Source organism: Homo sapiens, chromosome 17, assembly GCF_000001405.40.
Source record: "Homo sapiens chromosome 17, GRCh38.p14 Primary Assembly".
Classification (NCBI taxonomy): domain Eukaryota; kingdom Metazoa; phylum Chordata; class Mammalia; order Primates; family Hominidae; genus Homo; species Homo sapiens.
In genome coordinates this window covers 37,702,015-37,725,174 of record NC_000017.11, presented here as the reverse complement: position 1 = coordinate 37,725,174, position 23,160 = coordinate 37,702,015, and the positions used below count along the sequence as shown (strand labels likewise).

Sequence of the window (23,160 nt, the reverse complement as noted above, 5' to 3'; positions counted from 1 at the left end):
AAGTGCTCTTGGAAACTGTTGAAGGTTTGATGAGAAGCGACAGGAACTTGGAGAGAATTAGGTATTACAGGTGCAGAGAGAGGCAGAGATCTGTGCAAGGGCCTTTGAAGCTACCTGCTTAATGGAATGGAACAAGATCTGGCTTTATGCCTCTACCTATTTTTTAGGGGGAAGTATAAACACAAATGAAGAGGAGAGAGAGAAATATACATACATATATATGTATTATATATATATACACACACACACACACACACACACACACACACACGCATACATATAGAAGTTATATATATAAAAGGAATGCAGCCCACAAATAAAGTCAGATCAATTAGTCAGTCATGGTTATTATCCTAGCTATTCATAAATTCTCTAGAACAGGGATTGACAAACTTTTTCTGTAAAGAGCCAGATAGTAACTATTAAGTACTTTAAACTATTCAGTTGTAATTACTCAACTGTGCCTTTGTAGCACCAAAGCAGCCATAGACCATAGACATGGAAGTGAATGAACATCACTGTCTTCCAGTCAAACTTTATTTTATGGGGACTGAAATTTAAATTTCATATAATTTTCACATATCATCCTATAGTCTTTAATTGATTTTTTCTCAACTGTTTAAAAATGTAAAACCCATTCTTAGCTTGTGGGTCATACAAAAACAGGCTGCTTTGGCCAACAGACCAGTTTGCTGACCCCGCTGTAGGACAATAGTTCTCAAATGTGGCCACACTTTAGAATCACCCGAGGGAGTATTTAAAAATCCCAGTATCCAAGCTGCACCCTGGACCTGTCAGAACAGCTGGGGAGTGGGACTACATATCAGTAGTTAAAACTTTCTAAGTGATACCAATGTGTAGCTAAATTTGAGAACCAGTTCTAAGGTTCTCAAATTTAGCTTCTCAAATGTTAAAGTGCATGCCAGTTCCCTGGGGTGGGGGGTGTTAGGATACAGATTCTCATTCTATAGGCCTGGGGTGAGGCCTGGGTTTCTGCATTTTCAACAAGTTCCCAGGTGCTGTTGAAGAGGATGGTCTGGGACACACTTTTGAGTACTGGAGTTGGATTAGCAACTAACTCCCCTTTGCCTCCCAACCTGTGTAATTTGCCTCACCATCACCAGCCTTGACATCTAATATGGGGAAATGCTCTTTTAAATCCAGCCAGCACAGTGACAAAATTACAGGCTATGGAGGCAGACCCAAATTCCAACCTTCACTTTGGCACTTACTGCTGTGTGACCTTGGGCAAGTCTCTGGAATCTCTGTGCTTGCCTCTTGAGGTGTGGAGACATCCACTCATGCAGATGCTGGAAGAATTAAATAAGATAATATATATGTAAAACACTCCAGACATACCAGATTCTCATAAATAGTAGCTGTTACCATTCCTTGCAGAGACTTGGGGGTTGTTTCTTTGTTTTTTTGTTTTTTTAGTTTTTTCCCTCTTTCCTTGTCCTTCTTGGAGGTTTCATTCAACCTTGATTTTTAAAGAATTTGAGTATCTCCAACTAGATATTCATCTTGGTGTTTGCAGCAAACTTAGGCTGGCTTGTTGCAGCACATTGGGTATGAGGCAATCTCCTGCTCTTCCTAGGACTTCTCTGTGACATCCACAAGGCATATTGAGTGCCGTAAGGCATTTAGTACAAATTCAGGAAACAGTGAGGGGAAGCTGGGAAGACCATGGATTGGTGGGGGCAGAGGGGAGGGTCATGACCATGTAGCAGGAGGTCAGGTTCATGATGTTCATGAAGTCGAGATGACCATGAATTTCCTGTAACTAACAGGGCATTTTTCTTTTTTCTTTTTCTTTTAATTTTTTTTTTTGAGACAGAGTCTCGCTATCTCCCAGGCTGGAGTGCAGTGGCGCGATCTCGGCTCACTGCAAGCTCCGCCTCCCGGGTTCACGCCATTCTCCGGCCTCAGCCTCCCGAGTAGCTGGGACTACAGGCGTCCACCACCACGCCCGGCTAATTTTTTGTATTTTTTTTTTTTTAGTAGAGACGGGGTTTCACCGTGTTAGCCAGGATGGTCTCCATCTCCTGACCTCGTGATCTGCCCGCCTCGGCCTCCCAAAGTGCTGGGATTACAGCCGTGAGCCACCGCGCCCGGCCATTTTTCTTTTTTAATTAAAGGAGGTGTGAGTACTCCTCTCATGTGTATTGCTTGTTAGTAATTAGCCCTGGGAACCTGCCAGGTAGAGGGGTGTGGGATGTTCCTGGTGGAGGCTGCATCTGGGAAGCTTAATGGCCCCCAAACGTCAGGCGAAGGAGCATTTAAGAAGGAGAAGGTGCACACAGCCCCACGGTGAGCAAAGGGAAACCTCAGAGCTCCTAAGGGCTGATTTTCTGGAAACCACTTCCCTCAACCTGTGAGCATGCGTCTGCTTCAGGTACCTTCCTGTTACCCTATGCTCCAACTTCAGCAGCCTCCGCAATAGCACACTTGCGTGAGTTCAGCCACTGAGGAATCAACTGGCAAGGGGGGACTCGATGCTTCCAATGCTTTTGGGAAGTCAAGAGTCAGTTTTCTCAGGACTTGTACTCTGCATGTTCTTCCTAAGTTGGAGAAACACCTTGCAGATGGTCTTTAGCATGTAGACTTTCCCAAGGGAAGCCTACCTGAGCCAAGGTGAGCTGGTTATGGCCAGTCCCTTCTCAGGACCGGATTCAGATGCGTGTGTCTGGGTAGCCCAGTATAGCACCCAAATCAGGCTTGGCTTGGGTTGTGGTTCTGTCACTATCCGGCAGTGTGACCTTAAGTTATTAGCTTCTCTGTCCCAATACCTATCCCCTTAGGGGTGCAATGAGGCTTAAATATGATCAGACACACCCAGTGCCAAGCACAGTGCCTGGCAAGGAAGGTTAGCTGCCATTACAGTATTATTGAATTGACTCAGAAACTTCAGGGTGTTGAGAGAACGGAAGAGCTTGGGTTCTCCCTGGGTTCTTGACAAGGGTCTTACCTTGTAGTTTCAATCGGGAAGGATTTCCCTTTCCATGAACCCTGCTTGTCATTTGAAACATCAGAAACAATGAACTAAGTATTGGCAAGATCTGTGGTTCTCAAATCTCTCTCCAGACCACATAAAAATCATCCAGGGAGCTCATTAAAAATAGACATGGCTCCCTCCACCCACGCACACCTTTGGAGTCAGAATTGAGAGATGAGGGGTTCACAGGCATAAGAACTTTCGACAAAAGCCCTAAGAGATTCACGTAGAGTCCCAGCTACTTGTGAGGCTAAGGTAGCAGGGTCACTTGAACCCAGGAGTTTGAGGCTGAAGTGAGCTATGGCAGTTGGGTTGTAGACAACAAGGAACACAGGCTGCTTATTTTTGTCTCCTTCTATAAAACACCTTGAGATAAATTAAGCACTTTGTGCCCATTGGCGCCACTGCAGTACAGCCCGGGTGACAGAGTGAGACCCTGTCTCTAAAAAAAAAAAAAAAAGAGAGAGAGATTTGGATGCATAGTCAGGGTTGACATTACTAGGCCAGATGGAGCAGGAGAGTTCTGAAGGGGTTGAAGGTAATCCTCATGGCCCCTTGCTGAAATGGGAAAAGAGAAGCAGCCGGGGTGAGGGGCCTTGGACTAGGATTCAGGAGATCAGAGCCACCAATGAGCAAGGGTGACCTTGGGTGAATCATTTAACTTCCTGGGAATTCTGGCAAATGAGGGTGTGGGATGAGGGCCTTTCCACTCTGACAGGCTATTATTTGAAGACTGTGTGTGGCATCCAGTCTTGGGGCCCAGGACTCCGCAGCTTGGAGTGCAGAGGGAGGCTTGCCATTGTGGTATTTTATTGTGAAACTCATCATTGTCTCTCTCTCCTTCTCTCCCTCACTCCCTCGCTCCTTCCCCGTTTCAGGAACTGTGTGCTGTTAGAAGCCTTCCACCTTTATTAGGGATCATTAGAGCTTTACGACACCAGCAGATTGGGTGGGGCCAGTCACAATAAACAGATTTATAATGGGTATAAACGAGACACCTATAACTGCTAGAGGTTAACACTTTGAGGGCTTCTGAATAGCAGCTGGCATGCCCATGCCTTCTGGCCCTGTCCACTGCAGGGTGCCTCTTCCTGCTTGGCACCCATTGGACTGGGTTGGCAGTGAAGTCTATGTGAGTTCTTGTTCAGCAAGAGTGGAAAACCCTTAAACAACATCTCCTATTTGTGTAACATCAGTTTGCACGATGGGCACAAAAGTGCTTAATTTATCTCAAGGTGTTTTATGGATGGAGACAGAAATGAGCGGCCGTTCTTCTTCATTGTCTACAACCCTACAGCCAGGGGAACTAGAGGGTTTGCATCCCTACCTGTAAACTTCAATCTCACCGTGAAGAAGAAGGTCCCTGAAGTCTCTGAACACCTTGCTCTGTATGTATGTATTCTGAGTGGCAGAATTGTGGGCTGTACCAACATCTGAGCCTGAGGTAGCTTTCTTCATCATTGTGTCTCCAGCCCATAGCCCTGTGCCTGGCACATGGTAGACACTCCATATATTTGTGAAATAAAGATATCTATTATAGAAGGCTTCCTGTCAAAGCATATGCAGAAACCCCCTGTTTTATAAATTTGGTATTCAGTTTAAGAATTAAACTGAGCCTAGGATTAGTTTTGTTTTATATAGCATATATGTGCTATATAATTATATATATATGTATATATAAAGGCATATTTTCTCTTCTCTAGAAACAGTGTCACCCAGCTTCAACCCTATTAACACTGCTTAAGTATACAGTTCACAAATTAATGTCGACATTTAATGTTACCAGAAAGTTTTCAAAGAACGTATCATGAGTTTCTCCCTAATGTTCTACTAGTAAACTAGTCTACTCATTTAATTTAGTTCTACTAGTTACTTTAATGTTCTACTACTTTCATTCATTTTAAAATCTCTTACCAGGATCCCTAGGGCAAGAAAAGAGCAAGAACGTCTCCTCTTTTGTTTCCTTTGAGCAAAATGAGGTCTAGAAAAGGGACTGGACTACTGCAAATCAATTATCTGGACAGACAGAAACAAAACTGCCCTGCTCTGGGCAGCCATTAGGTCTCTGGTGGTGCTCCCTGAGCACTTGGCTGGTGCTCCTATCTCAGTGCCCAACACCTGGTGTTGCTTGGGACGAGCCTCCTTGGGCCTGCCGGTGATCGGCAGCTATCTGTCATGATGATGGTGATGATGATGGTGATAATGATACTGATGGAGATGCCCTCTGTGACAGTGATGAAGAGGCTGGGATCTGGCCAGGCAAATCCCTATCACAAGGCAGCTCTGACACTTGCCAGACCTCAAAGGATCTTCTCCCTGGGTATCATCTCCCAGTACGGTCTTTGTTATGAATAGGCTGTGGTGGAAAACCTCTCTTTTCTAAGGCAATTTTATTAGCCCTTCAGTCACAATACAGATGTCTGTTTATAGGACCTTACTTTTGTGTGGACACCCAGTGGCTCAGTCTGCTGATGGCTTTATAGCCTTTCTCCCTTTGCCCAGACCCACTGGGAGCATCACCATTCTCCTTGTCCACTAGGCCTAGAGGCCTTTGTTGCAGCCATATTATCTCTGCCTGCAAAGGCAGCTGCTCAGAAAATACCAGACCCTGGGAGCCAGACTGCAGAAGGGCACTCTGTGTCCCCACAGCCTTTAGGCCTAACGATGTCCACCATTAACCCTTCTTAGTTTTACTCTAGTTTCTTTGGAGAAAGGGGCATTTAAAAGTTATTCATGTTGCCACAGTAAATTCCCATTAATTGACTCTTCTCCTTATCCCCAAATCAACCCAGTAGCCCCCAAACTCGGTTCTTCAAATGTGAAACTGCCCAAGTCTATCAATACTGTTTCTTCAATTTTGATTGTATTTTAATCTCTCTCTCCTCTTCTCTTACTCCTCTTTCTTCCTCCTTAAAAAGAATGCTTGCCTCTCCTTGCCCATGGAAAAACAGGGAGGGGAGGCCAAAGCAGAAGGACTACTTGAGCCCAGGAGTTTGAGACTACCCTGGGCAACATAGACCCCCCCATCTCTTCAAAATAATAATAACAATAATAATAATAATAATATTAATAAATTAGCCAGGCATGGTGGCATGTGCCTGTAGTCTCAACTATTTTTGGGGGCTGAGGTGGGAGGATTCCTTGAGCCCAGGAGTTCAAGGCTGCAGTGAGCTGTGATTGCACCACCACAGTCCAGCCTGGGTGACAGAGCTAGAGCTTGCCTCAAAAAAGAAAAGAAAAACTGGGAGATTTAGAGGATAAATGGACATACTCCAGTCACTTCACCACCACTCAACTCAACAGTCTAAAGGTGAAAGTGATGTGGAGTCATCAGTCAGAGTTTAAGCATAGGTTATTCATTCATCATTTACTCCTTCAATAAATGTTTACTGAATGCTTAGCATGACTCTGCCAAGAAGAAAATGGAGAATACAGACAAGGTCCTGCCCTCATGGGGCTTACATTACAGTGAGGGATGCAGCCAAGGAACAAGTAAACAAACCTGCAAGATCATTTCAAGCTATTAGTGGGTCGTGATGGGGAGGCTCTACATATCTGGAGCCCATTTGGGGCTTAGGAGGAAGAGGGAGAAGGGTCAGCTTTGGAATACCACGGACTTGCTGGGAGACCCCCTAGCAAGGAGCGGTGCAAACAACCTTGTCCTCTCTGAACCTCAGTTTTCCACTCTGTCAAATGGGTGCTTGTGACACATTGAGAAGCAGATGGGTGTAACATACTCTCAGATGTGAGGACTGCCCAAGTTATCAAGTGCCAGGCTGGTTCCTTTTACCTACAGCAGCAATCTTCAGGCTGAAGTATTCATTGCAAACTGCCTGATGTTTGCCTGCAGAAACTGCCACTCTAGTAAGGATGAGGCGTGGTGGCCCAGGTAGACCTTGTGGGGGAGGACACACAGAGTTTCTGTTGGTCTTCTACCTCCCCACATGTGCAATTTTTTCAAGTGCACCATGCATGTTAGCTTCTGTTCTCAGCCAAGGTGCTTTTGATGAAAGATTTTTTTTTCTTTTCTTGGTTACATTTGCTTTGATTTTTTTTTTAAATAAGAAAACCAGTTTGTGGGCTTCCCTTAAGTATCACTCAACTTTTACTCCTTGAGTCAAGAATGTTTACTGTCCCTGCAGGCCTGTCTGTATTTCTCCTCTTATGAATTGAGCTCCTAACTAAGCCATGTTAGGTAGAAAGGGATCCGGAATTGAAACCAGCCCAGCATTTAAATTGCTTTCATCTTGCATCAGCTTTTTCTTCCACATTTGCAGATTTTTAATCTTCTAAACTCTTTGCAAACATGAATCTGTATCCTCTCAGAGGAGGAAATATTAATAAGAACTAGCAAAAGTCCAGTGCTACAAACAAGGAAACTGAGGCAGCAATGCTAACTCATTCGAAAGCTTTCATTTCTGGAGTTCTCAATTTCAAGCCAGGGAATTGTTCACATTCTTTTCTTCCAAATGGGCCTCTCAGAAGTTCACCAGACAGAATCATTTGTCTCTCTGCCTCTGTCCTTAAGAAAAGTAAAGTGTTTAGGGAGAAGGTAGAGTTATCAGGACACAGTACTGGGTCCATCAAGCCTGGCCCAGTCTCTCCCTGTCATCTCCCCAACATAATGATTTGGCTTCATAGAAAAGATGGCTGTGTCTACTCATAATTTATGAACAATGAACATAGTTATTACCTTTTGGAAGAGCTTTCTCCTTCGCATGCTCTCTCCTGCCTGAGTTTAAATTCCCAGTTTCTAGACCCAACAGGGCTGGGCTGCACTCTGCATGAGGTTAGAAACACAGGGGAAGAATGTGTGTGACAGAGCCCCAGCCAGTTGAGTAATGTTTACTCTGTTGGTGGCTGGGACGCTCACTTACGCTGGCAGAGGTCCACCAGCCAGAGGAACATTCCTGCATTATCAGGGATGGGAGGTTGGCTCTGAAATGTCAAGGGTGAAAGGCATCCCACCAGATTCTGGGTGCAGCTCATAGACTTCAGTGAAAGGAACCCCCAGGTTTCAGTGCCAAAAGCCACATCGTGGGCAAGCTGAGCCCCACATTGCCCAGGAATCCCCACTTTCCTCATTTCTTCTTACTAAAAGAACAATTCTGGTCCTGTTTTCTTTGTTGACATTGCTCTTCTGTTTACCCAGCAGAACCAGTGCATCTCTGACATTATTTTATTCATTCATTATTCTGGCTTGTGAAGAAGGAATATCTGTGTGCCCCTTTCACAGACAAAAATGCCAAGGCTCAAAAGTTAACTGACCCAGAATCATCAGAGAGTTATGGCAGAGAGAGAGAGAGAGAGAGAGAGAGAGAGAGAGAGAGAGAGAGATTGTTAAAGTGTCTAGAGGCTGGTGCCCAGTTGATCTCTGGAATCATGGAATTCCATGATTTTTTGAAGCTCTTAGAGCTGAATTAAATCGCCAGGGGCTCTATGAGCTGTAGCTCTAAGGCCCTGAAGCACAGGTTTCTGCAAAGTCTCTGGTGAATGGCACCCTGAGCAGCTCCTCTCTGGGGTCCTCCTGCAAGGCAGTCATGTTTGTCTTTGAACACACAGGCGCAGTAGGGTCTATATAACCTGACATATGCAGCCTAAAAATCACCAGAGTTTGCTAAGCCATGTGATAAGAACCACAGGGCTTACGGGAAAAACAGGATTAAAAACACAACACTTGAGGCCGGGCGCAGTGGCTCATGCCTTCAATCCCAGCACTTTGGGAGGCTGAGGCGGGCGGATCACTTGAGGTCAGGAGTTTGAGACCAGCCTGGCCAACACGGTGAAACTCTGTCTCTACCAAAAATACAAAAATTTAGCTGAGCGTGGTGGTGGGCGCCTGTAGTTCCAGCTACTCAGGAGGCTGAGGCAGGAGAATCACTTGAGCCCGGGAGGCGAAGGTTGCCGTGAGCCGAGATTACGCCACTGTACTCCAGACTAGGTGACAGAATGAGACTCTGTCTCTGAAATAAACTTTTTTAAAAAGCACAACACTTGAAAACTTCCTCAGCGACACATTTTGTTTGTTTTGAGATGGAGTCTTGTTCTGGTCACCCAGGCTGGAGTGCAGTGGCACGATCTCAGCTCACTGCAACCTCTGCCTCCCAGGTTCAAGCAATTCTCCTGCCTTAGCTTCCTGAGTAGTGGGGATTACACCACTATGCCTAGCTAATGCGCGTACCACCATACCCAGCTAATTTTTGTATGTTTAGTAGAGACAGGGTTTCACCATGTTGGCCAGGCTAGTCTCGAACTCCTGACCTCAAGTGATCCACCTGCCTCGGCCTCCCAAAGTGCTGGGATTACAGGCATGAGCCACCGTGCCCGGCCAACACATTTTTAAAAGATAAGAATCCAATAAAAAGATTACCAGAGTTTTATACCCGTTAAATAGTTAAGAAATATATCAATGCTATACAATAGTAAATATGGCAAGTTTGCCTAGGGAAGTGGGCATCAGAAGTGCTGCGGGTTGTGAGTTACTGTGAAGCAGTGGAGAAAGGGTTATCTGACATGGGAAGGAAAAGATGTGACTCCATATTGCATGGATGTGTCTTACCAGTGCACACAGTGGACCGAGGCGGCTGGTGGATGTTTGAGGTGCGCATATGTACACACAGGAGCATTGTTAGTATTCTCCTATGTGGTTCCATTCAGCTGGATGCAGGCTTCTGAATTCACTAAGTGTTTTCCAAATGTGAAATTGACATTACACTCAAATTATCCCCAATATGTCTATATAATTGGAACAGATTTACACTTTCACTACAATAAATACACAACTGACTGTATTTTCTACTTCTGCTAGACGTGATGCTCCTTGTCTGGGGCATGGGTGCTCAAAGCTGCTGGGGTTTCATTCCTTCAGTCAATAAATATGCACAGTACCAGGCAGTCTGCTAGGCTATAAGGATGCAACAAGTAAAGACTCATCTCTTTCTTTAAGAGGCAGAGAAAAGTAAACATATCATCAGCGTGCATGCAGGGTGACTGACTCCTGCCGTAAGTCTCTGTCTAGTGCATGTAAAATACAAAGGAAGGAGCAGCCATCTCCCAGGATGAATCAAGAAGAGCTTCACAGGGGGGCGACATGTGACACGAGATGCTTTCCAGGCAGAGGAAACAGCAAAGGTGCAGAGGCAGGAGATGGTCAGGCCATTTGAGAAGTGCATTAAGATTGTGGTGAGAGATAATGCAAATAAAACAGATGAATCACAAAGGCCCAGTTCTGCCAGTCTCAGGTGTTGGGGCTTTTCTGGAAAGCAGTGAGGAGCCATCAGATGTTTCCAAGCAGAGCAGAGGCATGGTGTGACTTTGTTTTAGAAAGATATCCCAGGCTGCAGCAGTGTGAAAGGACCCTAGAGACGGTGCTGGCACAGGAAGGCAGAGCAAGGATGCTGGCTTCTTGGAACCATGCACCTGTGCCATGCCTTTGGCACTTCTGACCAGTCATATTGGATAGAAACCGAATGATCTGCGTCTGTATCCAGGAATAGCCCAACACCCATGATGCTGATGCCTAGGAATAGAGGAAAGTAGATGATCTACTCACCAGGGCCTCAGGGATGTCTCAACTCCACCTTGGATGGCTTTTGCTGCTGGACACAATTGCTGTGGTTCATAGAGCCAACAATGGGGATGGGGCCAGTGAGTGGCTTGAGCTAGGAAGTAAGTAGAAGGTGAATGGCTACCATCTGCCACTGTCATTTCTCCTATGGGTCCTCTGTGGCTATTAACCTGGCATCTTTGGTTAATCAATATTAAACCAGAGCCCTTGTCATATGTTCACTTTAAGAACTTGCATTGGTGAAGGAAGAAGGGAAGATGCTATTCCATTTCTTAATGCTTCCTAACACAGTGCCTGGCACATGGTAGGTGCTCAATAAAGTGGCACGACCTCAGCCTTCCTAAAAATGTCTTTTAAACAAGGACAGTGCCAAAGTAGGAGGAATTGACGTGTTTTCAGCAACTGTTATGTGCCCAGCATGATCTGGGTATTTGGACATCCATTAACTCATTCCGTTCTCTTCCCAATGACCTGACAGATGGATATTGTTAACAGTAAGGAACTGAAGCTCAGGGAGGTTAAGTAACTTCCCAAGATCACACAGGTCTTACAGGGTAGAGCCAAGATTTAAACCCAGGTCACCTGGCTCCAGAGCCTACACACTTTGCACTTATTTTTGTTCTCACTTCAAGTGCTCTTCTGAGTTTTTGAAATATAGGAGGACTGGCCTCTCCTTCCTCTAACAAGAGCACCTATTTTTGGTGTACACCTTGTGATGCGCCCCCACCCCGCCCCCTCATAAGATGGCTGGCTGATTACAGCCACCCTCTCAGGGGCCAGTGATTGCCACATGCTTGGTGAGAGGAGCATCGTGGGAACACCTGCAGGTGGATCTGGGGCTGATGAGCAGCCTTGTGCCTGGCTCCCATCACACTGCTGTGACAATGGCCCCCTCCCCACAGTGGGCCGTCCTCTGGCTTATAGATGAGGAAGCTGGTGCTCACCCAAGAAATTGATAGCAGAGCTGAGATTAAAACAGGGATCCCCCAGTTTCCAGCCGAGCCTCTATCACTTAACCAGGGGCTTTTAAAGGAACGTTCAAAGGTCTAGGCTCATCTGTCTTTTGACAGAGCAGCTCCACCGTTATATTTCTTATATAATAAAGTTTTGTTGGGGAGAAAACAAAGTATAAAAACCACAGCAGCCTTGGAATATGCTGCCTGGATTCTAACAAATGGCTCTTGAGTCTCTCCTGACATGCTCCCTTGTAAAGAAGCCTTTTGTTTCCTGCGGAAATCCTTGGTTAATTATTTTTAAATAAATAATTGCGTAGCCTTTGGTAGGGGAGAAGCCTCCTTGTGACCCATATTTGATCATCAGAGGGCTGGCCCTTTTCCATCAGCCAAATTAAATAGGCTAAATCCAGAGACTGTTTGACTTGAGACTGAATCGATGATGGGGACAGGCTGGGAGGTGAAAACACAACTGACTCCCAGCGTTATCAACACTCTCTCAGGAGCAGAGCCTCTCGGGGAGGTAAATAGCTGGTTAGGGAGTCAGAGAAAGCAGGAGAAAAACAGGGTGAAGTCCAGTTCCTCCAAAAGAACAGAGCAAGAGGGCAGCGGCTAGACCTCTCTCCCAGGTTGCTTCCAGGGCAAAGCATCAGTGGTTCTGCCAGGGTAGGATTCTTTGGAAACTGTTCTCTACGGAAAGATAATTCCATTCAGTGTTTAGAATCTGTCCTAAGCCATCTAGAATTCTAGGATCTTAGGGCAAATATCTTGGGGTCCATTCCTGTACCAGCTTCCTCCCCACAGCATCCCCACCCATAGTTGCCATTTATATGGCATTTTGCAAGAAACTGTATAGATGTTACCTCTAATCCAAAAAGAGTCCTGTTGAGGAGGCATTCTCTCCATTTTTCTAGAGGAAACAAAGGCACAGAGAGGGAAAGTAATTTTCCCATGATCACAGATCTATTAAGAGCAGCATCAGAATTTGAACCTGAGTTGGTTTCGCTGCAGAGTCCATAGTCTTCCCACTGCCCCTCCTTGATAGAAAATTCTTCCTGTTATTTATTTGAAATCTGCCTCCCTGTTTTCCATTGAACCTAGCTCTGCCTTCAGAGCTCATAAGGTTCAAATCTCTTTCTTCTTTCATGTAACAACACTTTGAACTGTTGGAAGCATCCTACTGGGAACTGGGTGGCAGACGTGAAGAAAGAAGGCCTCATTTAATCCAATGGGATGGCATCGATGGCAAACAGGAGACGTGGGGGCTGCAGATAGGTGCACAGGAGGACAGGGGCCTGGGCACCGGCTGTTGACTTGGGGAGCTGAACGCTGTTCCTCCTTTTAACTTCATGATTTCTGTCCTTCCCAAAAAATGTAGTGCCTTAAACCAATACACCAATGCCAGCGCCATCCCACTGTCACCACCACCCCCACTAGCAGCTCCTTGATTCAAAGAATGGGGAAAATGGCCAATAGAAAAGCTCATAGAGCAAGCGTCAAGCCACTACATACTCAGACAAGTTGCTCTTGAAGGTTAGAACCCAGCTTTAGCATTTGTTTTGTTCTTTTCCCCAGCCCTCTTAAGCTCTAGGTCATATCGGCCTTGGGTAAAGTCCTTAGGAAGATCCAAGGAAAACTGGCTTGGGGCTCATCTAGTCTCATCTTGGTAAGCTTCATCTTGGTGAATTAGAGGCAGATTATGACACTGATTATGGCAGTGCCTGGCCCCTGGGGGAACTTTGTGGTCTCCTCTGGAAGGTGGGGCTCTAGCTAGGGCAGGGGGTGGGTGGATGAAAGAGCAACAACAGAATCAGTGTACAGGGATGGTTCATCTTGGGAAACTGGGCAAAGGAAGACGTGCAGCTAAAGAGTTGGTCCACCTATCCAGATAATTCCATGCCTAGAGCATTTGGTCTCTGCAGGACAGGGTCCTCCAAACCTTTTTGTCAAATCCAAAGCAAAAAACAAGAACACTGTCTTTCTAAGCACTGAGCTTAGGGGTGAGATGCCCCATGTACCCCCAACCTTGTCCTTGACTGTTTCATGGGCACATCAAGCAGGATTTCCATCTGCAAACTGGACCCAGGCGTTCTTTTAGCTTCCTTCAGTTGCCTGATCTCTGTCCAGAACTTTTCTTTCCTGAGAGCAGACCTCCATTTTGGTTCCCGAGCAAGAGGGAGGGTCAGAGCAGCGAGGTTGTAAACATGTTTGGTTCTACCCTTCCCCTGCAGAGCAAACTCCAGTGGTTTACTAAACATCCACATCTGCCTGTGTGTGGTGCTGCCTGCCCCACCTCCCAGCAGACACACCTTTCCCTGTGCCCTGGAAGGCAGCCAAATGGGACCCCCAGCAAAGGAATGTGAGTTCTACAGCCTAGCTCCTAGACGCAGCTTCATCCCTGTCCTGCTCTGCCTGTGTCCGTGCCCCTGACCTCTTGGGCCTGGCCACAAAGGTGGTACACAGAGACTGATGCCTAAGCTACGGCTCTTTCAAGGGTCACTGGACAAGGGCTTCTTCTTCGTCACATGGGTCTACTTATACTTTGCAGCACCACGAGGGATGCCAGGGAAACATTTCTAAAAGGCATTTTAAAGAATAAAAAATACTCCAGCCAGTAACAGAAGGCTAGTCTCAACCCCCAAATCCTCAAAGAACTGTGCGGAAGCAATAACAAACAGAATCCATCCAGTCATTCATTTATTCATCAGAAGTTTACCGAGTGGCTATTCAGTGCCAAGGCACTGGGGATACATCAGTGAACAAAACAAACGAGATAAAAATTTCCTGCCCTCGTGGCGCTTACATTCTAGAATTAAATAGAGAACATGCCATATTTACCCTGGAGAAAAGCAGCCGATATTTCTTGTGGGTGGACAGGGGAGGAGAAAGCAACTTTATTTTCTTATTACCCACCCTTGAAAACAAGAGGTGCCGAGTCATTGTTCCAGGACCCTGGTGGCACTAATGTTCCCTACTGGGTTTGTGTTGTTTTGCAGGAGTGCGCTACAGCCAGCAGGGAAACAATGAGATCACTTCCTCCTCAACAATCAGTCACCATGGCAACAGCGCCATGGTGACCAGCCAGTCGGTTTTACAGCAAGTCTCCCCAGCCAGCCTGGACCCAGGCCACAATCTCCTCTCACCTGATGGTAAAATGGTGAGTACACCTGGGCCATTGTCGCTCTGGAGCTGATAAGATAAGAGGCAAAACAAACACAACTTCTCACAAGGCCTGCCTCAAACAATGAACCATTGTAGCCCCATAGGGGAAAATGAGGGCTGTCCAGAGTCGGAAAGGAGAGGTAGTGCTGGTGACCCAGCCTTTGGCGGGTAGAAGAGGTGTTCGGTTTGAACCCAGCCAATAAATCTGACAGAGTTCTGCTCTCTTTTTATTGATTGAATGCCTCATAAAGGAGCAAGCCCGGTGGGACACTGTTTGTTTTGGGGCTTGCCAATGACATTTGTGTTGATAAAATGTTCATTCATCCCTCCCCCCAAGGCCTCCAAAGCCAATTTTTTAACTTAGAGAGCACCTCACTTTGACACAAGCCCCCTCTTCCTCCTTACCATCCCCTTGGTACTGACAAGAAGAGTCATTAGCAAGTCAGGATGTAGTGGATAGGAGGCGATGGGGAGAAGCTTCTTGAACTGGAACAGTGAAAGACATGGGACACCATGACAGCGAAGATCACAGCACAAATGGTAGATGGGGTGGGGCGATGCTTAGGGAGGGAGAAACACCAACTTTGAAGTTACAATTGCCCAGGTTCAAATCCCAGCTCCAGCTCTTAATAGCTGTGTAGCCTGAGCAGGTTACTCGACTACTTATGATCTCTTCCTCATCTATAAAATGGGGGCGGTAACAATAGACTTGGTGGGGGCATGAGCGTGATAACATTTGAGAAATACTCTGCAGTGTTTGCCATAGAAAATAGTCAATAAATTGCAGTATTGTTGTTGTTGTCGTGTAAATGTCAATATCATTCTCATTAAATGAAGTTTTCTATATCCGTAACCACAGCCCCACACCCAGATGCAAGTTTAGCACACTTGGTGAAGAATGCACAATTTGAATTTGAATTTTCTACATCAAACTAGATTCTAGGCCAGGTGCAGTGGCTCATACCTGTAATTCCAGCACTTGGGGAGACTGAGGCAGGTGGATCACTTGAGGCCAGAAAGTTTGAGACCAGCCTGGACAACAGGGCGAAACACCATCTCTATTAAAAAAAAAATACAAAAATTAGCCAGGAATGGTGGCATGCACCTGTAATCCCAGCTACTCGGGAGGCTGAGGTGGGGAGCTCACTTGAGCCTGGGAGGCAGAGGTTGCAGTGAGCTCACACCACTGCACTCCAGCCTGGGCAACAGAGTGAGACTCGGGTGTCTCAAAAAATAATAATTAATAATAACAATAAAATAAATAAAACTAGGTTCTAATTAGGATTAGGTTCTGATCCTGTAGCAACACAAGTGCAGGAGAGAGTGGCTTATGGGAGAACAGGAGCATTACGACACTGGCAAGGGTAGAGAATGGAAAGCTCTATTCTTTGGGTCATGCTCTGTTTTTCAGGGGAGGGAGGAGCCGCAGATTCCCGACTTTCATGCTGAAGGTGGAGCTGCACACATTCCCAGAGTGGGGGCCAGGATGGGTGAGGGCAACAGGGTGCAGAGGCCATTTTAGATCTTGACGTGTGTGCTGTGTAGGCAACACAGAAACGGTGAGTCACAGGTGATCGAGTCCCTGGCTCCCTGGAGGAAAAACAAGTGTGGTTTCTGAGGGGAGCACTGACCCGGCCAATTCTGGTTTCAGAGGACCTGAGCTGCTTGCCCTGGTCGTGGTCTCTGCAAACAAAAATGAAAGGGCATTCCTGGGGGAGGCATTTTGCAGCCCTCTTCTCCTACTCCCACCTATCCCTTAAGAAAGATTCTTCTCCATGTGAAGAACCACTTGTGTCAGTTACCTGTGAGAGGCACAGACAAGTCTTTCTGACTTCTCAAGAGTGTCCCAAACAAGTTAGGGTTAAGGATTACCCAGGCTTCCATGGAGAAGGGTGCCTTACGGAAGAGGTCTTGACTTCTCAGTGTGGAAGAACCTTCCAGGTCTCAGCTCTTACTGCTTGAAGGTCCTTGGGGTTTCCTACTGAGCTCTGCCTCTCCTCCTTCTAAGAGGCAAGCTGCCTCACCCAGGCCAGGGCCGCTCTAAATGCAGCCTGTGGACACGCTTTTTGCTTCCTGTTCTGCTCAGCAGTGCTTTAACTGGGCAGTGTGTTACTGGATTGATGATTGACCAAGACTGCACACCTCAACGTTAGCAAACACCTGGAAGCTTGTTTGCAGGGCCTGGCTTTTCTCTTGTCTCCAACACCCTAGTGCATGTGCTGTGTCACTATCATCAGAGGTCCAAATTCAAGAGTCTGTTTTCTTGTTAATATAATAACATGTCCATCACGGATCTTGGTCCCCCAAGGCAAGAGTGGAGTATGGTTAAAAAGGAATGCAGGGAAGGGAACCAGTATGTGCAAGTCTTGGCTCGGTCATTCACCAGCAGTAGTGTGGACAAATTGCTTAACCTCAGTTTCTTCATCTGTAAAATGGGGGATAATGATGCCTACGTCATAGGGTTGGTGTGAAGATTGCTTGTAGCACTGTTGTTCTTTGGGTCAGCCCTGTTCTAGGAATGACAATCTCTGCATGCTGACTTTCAGTAGGACGTGCCTTGAAATCTTTCCCCAAGGACTGGTTTTGGAAATAAAGCCAATCCATTTGAACTCTCTGTTGTACTGTCTGCCCCTACCCGCCCCCATGCCCAAATGTCACGCATTGACAAAAAACTGGCCAGGTTTAGGGTTGTAGTCTGTGCATGTCGAACCTTTAAAAAAAAAAAAAAGAGAGAGAACAAAGCAAAGCACATACTGGATACTTTCACAGTATCAAGCAGTATGTCCTAATGGTGAAAAGCTCAGGCTGTGGCGGTAGATAGCCTGCTTTCAACCCCAATTCTACCACTTGGGCACACTTCTTAACTTCTCTAAATTTCAGTATCCTTCTCTATGAAATAGGGATAATAATACCAACCTTATAGATTATAGGTATATAAAGAACCTAGCATAGTGAAGAGACCATAAATGACAGCATTAATGTAATTCAGGCTCTCCAAATTATCATGTAAGGATCACCACTGATACCCTTGGCAGTGCCCTAGCTTCCATCAGTCCAGGAGCCAAATAGAAAGTAATGGTTGTAGCCGGGCACAGTGGCTCACACGTGTAATTCCACTATTTTGGGAGGTGAGGAAAGATAATTGCTTGAGCCCAGGAGTTCAAGACCAGCTTGGGTAACACAGCAAGGCCCTGTCCCTACAAAAAATAAAAAAATTAGCTGGGCACGGTGGTGCATGCCTGTTGTCCCAGCTACTCCAGAGGTTGAGGTGACAAGATCGCTTAATTCCAGGAGTTCGAAGCTGCAGTGAGCTGTGATCATGCCACTGCACTCCAGCCTTGGCGATAGAGTAAGACCCTGTCTCAAAAAAAAAAAAAAAATTAAAAATAATAGTTGCATTTTAGAATGGGAAGTAACTTGATCAAGGTTGCCCAAACTTAGTAAGTGAATAAGATTTAAGCTCCAGCAAAACTGGATTTTAACTCTGGCTTTTTCACTTATGAGTCAAGTGACATAGAAATAGTCTCAACTCTTCTGAAGATCAGTTTCTTAATCTGTAATACAGGGACTGATAGTAATAATGCCTGCCCTACTTGTGTCATTATCTATTAAGGACAATCAGTGAAAGCACTTTACAAATCCTAAAGTCACACACATTTAAATTATTTTTATCATTGGCCTCCACACTTCTCTTATACCATTAACCAAATGCTGAAATGTCAGAGAAATTACTGTCACTTGGTTGACTTTCTCCAAAGGAACTACATTACCCAAGAGATTCAGTCTGAGGGCAGGCTACGGATTTTTTTTTTTTTTTTTTTAATGACTGGTATTTTGAAAAACAAGTCCAGCAAACAGGCTGCTTCTCTCTTGTTTGATGTGGTCAGAATTCCTTCTTGGTCATGTGACCCCCTAACATTTCTTGATGCTTATTTTAAAAACACAAACAAACCTGTTTGGTTTTTGCTTTCTTTCTTTTTCAAATTAACCTTGGACACTATGGAGTTGACCGGAAGGGCAGGGTGGGAGATAGCATCTTACCTGGGTGCTGGTGGGAGAGCTATCGTCTGAAAAGCTCTGGGAAGTGAAAGATGGAAGAAGGAAAGTTGAGTTACTCAGACATCTGGTGCATCCTAACCCTAAAGCACCTCTCGGGGTTCCTGATGCTCTCAAGCACGCCTGGGTTCAGAATAAGAGGGGCCAGTCCTTTCTTCATAATAACTTTAAAAATTATTTTGAGGCTGGGCACAGTGGCTCACACCTGTAATCCCAGCACTTTGGGAGGCTGAGGTGGGCACATAACCTGAGGTCAGGAGTTCAAGACCAGCCTGGTCAACATAGTGAAATCCCGTCTCTACTAAAAATACAAAAATCAGCCAGGCGTGGTGGTAGGTGCCTGTGGTTCCATCCACTCGGGAGGCTGAGGCAGGAGAATTGCTTGAACCCACAAGGCGGAGGTTGCAGTGAGCAGAGATCATGCCACTGCACTCCAGCCTGGGCAACAGAGCTGGACTCCACCTCAAAAAAAGAAAAAAATTATTTTGAAACTATAAGTAGTAAACTAATGTATCATGGAAAAAGTGTAGGTGTGTTTAAAACTGATCGCGCCCTTATAATTACAATTAGAGTTAATGGGAAAACATTGGAAACATTTCTGATAACATCAGAAGCAAAATAAGCACATCTATTACAGCTGTTATTGTTTAATACTGTAAGTTCTAAGCAATATAATAGGACATGTAGACATATCAGTACTAGCAAGGAAAAGACCCTGTTACCATCAGATGCTTGTATTACAATTACATACTTGGAAAAAAATCAATGAGGAAAAGACACTAGTAGGATTCAGTGAAGTGGTCATGTACAAAGTAAATACACCAAAATCAGTAGCTTTCTCATACTAATCTGTCATTAAAATATAATGGTGATTACAATATAGGATCCTTGACCAAAAAAGAAAAAAAATTTTGTAATGTGTACTGGAGATGTGGAAAAAGTAGAGAAACCTTGTAATGGCTAATCTCCCCCAACCCTTAGTAATTTCTGAAGCTGGCTAGTAACTCAGACAGTCAACAATAGATGCACCATGAGGGCAGGGATCACTGTCTGTTTTACTTACTGCTCTATCCCCAGCACCTAGAATAGTGTCTGTCCCACAGTAGACACTTAATAATTGTGTTTTTTTCTTTTTTTGTAGAGATGATTTCACCATGTTGCCCAGGCTGGTCTTGAACTCCTGAGCTCAGGCAGTCCTCCTGTCTTGGCTTCCCAAAGTGCTGGGATTACAGGGGTGAAGCACCATGCCCAGCCAATAATTGTTATTGAGTGAATGAAGGAATGAATTTGAGAACTAGTCATGCCAAGGAATCGCTAAGTCACATCGTGTTGGAAACTGCTCTTTGTGGTCCAAGTCCACCCATGTTTCTCTTGTTTTTTTCTCTCCATCAGATCTCAGTCTCAGGAGGAGGTTTGCCCCCAGTCAGCACCTTGACGAATATCCACAGCCTCTCCCACCATAATCCCCAGCAATCTCAAAACCTCATCATGACACCCCTCTCTGGAGTCATGGCAATTGCACAAAGTAAGTTCTATTCTTGGTTGGAAAACTTGGGGGCAGGGAGAAGAAGAATGGGAAGCAAATTAATGTGGTGAAAAATAACTGTAGGTCTCCTTCAAACTCACCCACGACTAGTAGATTTGGTTTAACTTCTTTAGTTTCTCATCTGTCTCCTTAAATCCAATATTTGGATTGTTTAGCCTAAAACAAGAGAAAATTGTGGAATGGATTTGGATCCTGGTCACAGTTTAGCAGCTGTGCATCCTGGGTCAAATCATTGAACCTTCAGGAGATTCAATGTCCTCATCTATAAAATAGGTTGTTAAAGTGATCAACTGACAGTGAATATGAACATGCTTATAAATCTCTAAAGCATGAATATGTATAACATCGTAGCTTACACTTTGTCTTGAGTTCATTCCTATCACTAAGTAGGTGGTAGATTTTTCAGGAGGTTCTTTCTGTTTGGTGATGATGAAGTAAGAATGACAGGTTTCCTTCTAAATGGGGAGTTTTGTGTGGTATATGAAATCTCCTTGGCCAGCAGTGAAAATACACCAAGGGAGGATCCAGAGGGAAACTGCCATTGTATCTGAGAGCTTTGAAAACTTTAAGGAGAAAAAGCTTGCTTTGGCACATCACACGCCTGAAGACACGGAGATGGATCAGGTCCCTCCAGCTCCAGGAGGCTCATATTCAACAGCAAGCCTGTGCCCTCCCATACATGGGCCATCTTGAGGCATGAGAAGGCTGAAGGGAACTGTGGTTGTGGATATCTCTTTGAGAGTTTTAATGTTGATGAGTATTCAGCATATTTCCAGCTTCACTATGACAGCTCAGGTGTCGTTGTTTCTCAAAACCATCCTTGTGACCCTTGGATGTATTGCTGGATGTCTTGGGAGAGATCTAAGGGTAACACATTGGTCATCTTTCTTTCAACCTTGTATTGCTCCATTGTCCTCTTACCTTCCTTGTATCTAGGGCTCATGTTGGCCACCTCTTTGTTTTGTTTCTGCCTTTTTCTTTCTTCCCTCTTCTCTCCCTAAATCAGCTTTAGCTAGGGTCGGAACTTGGATTCTCACTTCTGAAGAGAATGACTTACACATCCTTTGAGGTCAGAACAGGGCTAAGCCCATTGGAGGCACACAAATTTATTGAATATGTGTGGCTCTCACTCTATCCTTAGCTGCTTGGAAATTGACACACAGTGCATTGATTTTGGCAGAAGGAAAATGGGAATGGGGAAGCATTTAGAGAACTCACAATATAAATGATCATTTTAAATGTATTGCCTTTTGACTGGGCCCTCTGGTATATGGAATATGGTAATTATACTAATACCAGAGTTTGGAATGAGATAAGATACCTAAAACCAGCTTGTTTGCCATTTAGAAGATTTGATTAAAAGGCCCGTGGGGAAGATATTCCACTTATTTCTGCAACCAAAATAATAAACAAACTGTCCCACTTAACTTCTTTCTTTCCATTCTAAGCTTTCACTGCCATACAGTTATATATATATATATACTATCTGAATTAAAATTTTCCCTGGGGCTAGTCTGCATCTTTCCATTTTGTTCTTTCTAATTTCCTCTACTCATATTTCTCTATCATTTCACGATGCTCCTTAATCTCCTATTCAGATGGGCTGCACCAGAGTGCACACTGACCTCAGAAGGATGGCTGTGTGTGTACATATCTGTGTACACTTGGGGTAGACAGAGCATGAGAAATGGTGAGAATCACCAGAAGACTGCTGAGACACAGAGGTCCTACACTATGGAGTGTTAGGATGAGAAACTGGTTGCAGGCATCTTCATTTAACTGACTGATGTGTTGAGTACCATGGGCCCTGCCTCAGAATTGCGGAAGCCTGTGGAGAAGGTGGTAACAAATTATTTGGCAGGGCCAATTCCTTATTCTCTACTCATTCTCACCTCTTCATCCTATTCTCTTTCTCATCTCTTCCCTGGACTGGATAGCATACTTCCCAAGCAAGAACCAGTGCCCAGAAACAGAAACAGATGAAAAGGTCAAGACTTACCCACTGAGGGAGCTGGAATGACATCAGAGGCTCTCAATCCTGGAATTGAGGCACATCAGGATCACAGACTGCATTGAAAATAAGATTCCTGGGCCCCACCTCTGAAGGTTCTGACTCATTAGGTCTTGGGTGGGGCCCAGGAATGTATATTTGTTAAAGAGCTCCCCCAGATGATTTCTGAAGCACATGCAGGTTTCAGAACTATGCCTTCAAATGTCATCCACTCTAGACAGGATCATTTGCTTTTTTGGGCAGCAGTTTCTCAAAAAGAGCAGCAGCAGTGCTCTCAAAGATTTCTCAAAAACGGCACATTCATGGAGCTTTCTGGGAGACTGAGACCATAAGCAGGAGGTAGGAAAGGGAAACACGGTCATCGGTCATCAGGGTATCTGGTGAGATGCTGGCTTGAGGAGACGCTGAGCCCCCTGGGGAACTGGAGACAGTGCTGTTCTGAGGGTGATCAGAGGGTGGCACCCCCAGCCCCCACCCAGGAGAGCCAGAAGCAGGATTCATCCCCTGTCCTTTCTGCTCAGGGGTCTCGCCTTTTAGGTTTCTGATAACAGTATCAGCTAAAGCTCTGAGTAGGCAATTGTTGAGGACTCCGTGTTATCTCCATTGATGACTTCCCTCAAACCTGCCTATGAAACCGTCTCCATTTCAGGAAAGCCTCTCTAGGTGTCCCTTCCACATCCACCTAAAACAGACCTTTTTCTGGATTCCTTCTTCATCCCATTCTTCCCCCAACTTCCCAGAAAGCAAGAACACAGGAACACAATCGACCCCAGGAAGCAGGTCCAGGTGTCTTCTCTCCTGATCGTCCTGTCCCCACTCCGATCCTACCTTAGCTGTCTTCCTCCGTGTCGCTCTCAGGGAGGAGATAGA

General features: G+C 45.3%; 1 protein-coding gene and 2 long non-coding RNA genes across 14 annotated transcripts in view, besides 5 other annotated features; 1 reads left to right on the top strand and 2 right to left on the bottom strand.

The window, feature by feature from the left end:
• HNF1B (HNF1 homeobox B) overlaps positions 1-23,160 on the top strand; it is a 58,629-nt gene that overhangs the window by 19,885 nt on the left and 15,584 nt on the right. For 7 of the 10 annotated variants that reach the window (NM_001304286.2, XM_047436630.1, XM_011525164.1 and 4 more), the window contains exons 5-6: positions 14,512-14,672; positions 20,126-20,258. In NM_001304286.2, coding sequence (NP_001291215.1) covers positions 14,512-14,672; positions 20,126-20,258 — 294 coding nt within the window. The other 3 variants (XM_047436631.1, XM_011525162.3, XM_011525163.3) reach the window with 2 other exon arrangements.
• On the bottom strand, positions 1,066-12,953 carry LOC105371754 (uncharacterized). 2 transcript variants are annotated; one of them, XR_001752875.2, is made up of 3 exons: positions 10,548-11,282; positions 7,689-7,775; positions 1,066-1,310 (listed from the first exon to the last, which is right to left on the bottom strand). It is a non-coding gene; the product is annotated as an uncharacterized LOC105371754 (long non-coding RNA). The 2 variants fall into 2 exon arrangements; XR_001752876.2 differs by lacking the exon at positions 1,066-1,310 and adding an exon at positions 12,379-12,953 and having other exon boundaries at positions 7,341-7,775; positions 10,548-10,656.
• Positions 1,465-1,965: an enhancer, noted in NCBI's record as "H3K4me1 hESC enhancer chr17:36083205-36083705 (GRCh37/hg19 assembly coordinates)". NCBI's record gives its function as "activates a minimal SCP1, AML or CMV promoter by ChIP-STARR-seq in naive H9 embryonic stem cells {active_cell/tissue: H9 hESC(naive)}" and the evidence as "EXISTENCE:reporter gene assay evidence [ECO:0000049][PMID:30033119]".
• Positions 13,361-13,882: an enhancer, noted in NCBI's record as "H3K27ac hESC enhancer chr17:36071301-36071822 (GRCh37/hg19 assembly coordinates)". NCBI's record gives its function as "activates a minimal SCP1, AML or CMV promoter by ChIP-STARR-seq in primed H9 embryonic stem cells {active_cell/tissue: H9 hESC(primed)}" and the evidence as "EXISTENCE:reporter gene assay evidence [ECO:0000049][PMID:30033119]".
• Positions 13,883-14,404: an enhancer, noted in NCBI's record as "OCT4-NANOG-H3K27ac hESC enhancer chr17:36070779-36071300 (GRCh37/hg19 assembly coordinates)". NCBI's record gives its function as "activates a minimal SCP1, AML or CMV promoter by ChIP-STARR-seq in primed H9 embryonic stem cells {active_cell/tissue: H9 hESC(primed)}" and the evidence as "EXISTENCE:reporter gene assay evidence [ECO:0000049][PMID:30033119]".
• On the bottom strand, positions 14,200-22,350 carry LOC124903989 (uncharacterized). 2 transcript variants are annotated; one of them, XR_007065733.1, is made up of 3 exons: positions 22,279-22,350; positions 15,083-20,435; positions 14,200-14,704 (listed from the first exon to the last, which is right to left on the bottom strand). It is a non-coding gene; the product is annotated as an uncharacterized LOC124903989 (long non-coding RNA). The 2 variants fall into 2 exon arrangements; XR_007065732.1 differs by having other exon boundaries at positions 14,200-20,435.
• Positions 16,583-17,083: an enhancer, noted in NCBI's record as "H3K27ac hESC enhancer chr17:36068100-36068600 (GRCh37/hg19 assembly coordinates)". NCBI's record gives its function as "activates a minimal SCP1, AML or CMV promoter by ChIP-STARR-seq in naive and primed H9 embryonic stem cells {active_cell/tissue: H9 hESC(naive and primed)}" and the evidence as "EXISTENCE:reporter gene assay evidence [ECO:0000049][PMID:30033119]".
• Positions 21,781-22,980: an enhancer, noted in NCBI's record as "P300/CBP strongly-dependent group 1 enhancer chr17:36062200-36063399 (GRCh37/hg19 assembly coordinates)". NCBI's record gives its function as "activates an origin of replication core promoter dependent on BRD2, BRD4, P300/CBP, MED14 and CDK7 cofactors, with strong dependence on P300/CBP, by STARR-seq in HCT116 cells {active_cell/tissue: HCT116}" and the evidence as "EXISTENCE:reporter gene assay evidence [ECO:0000049][PMID:35650434]".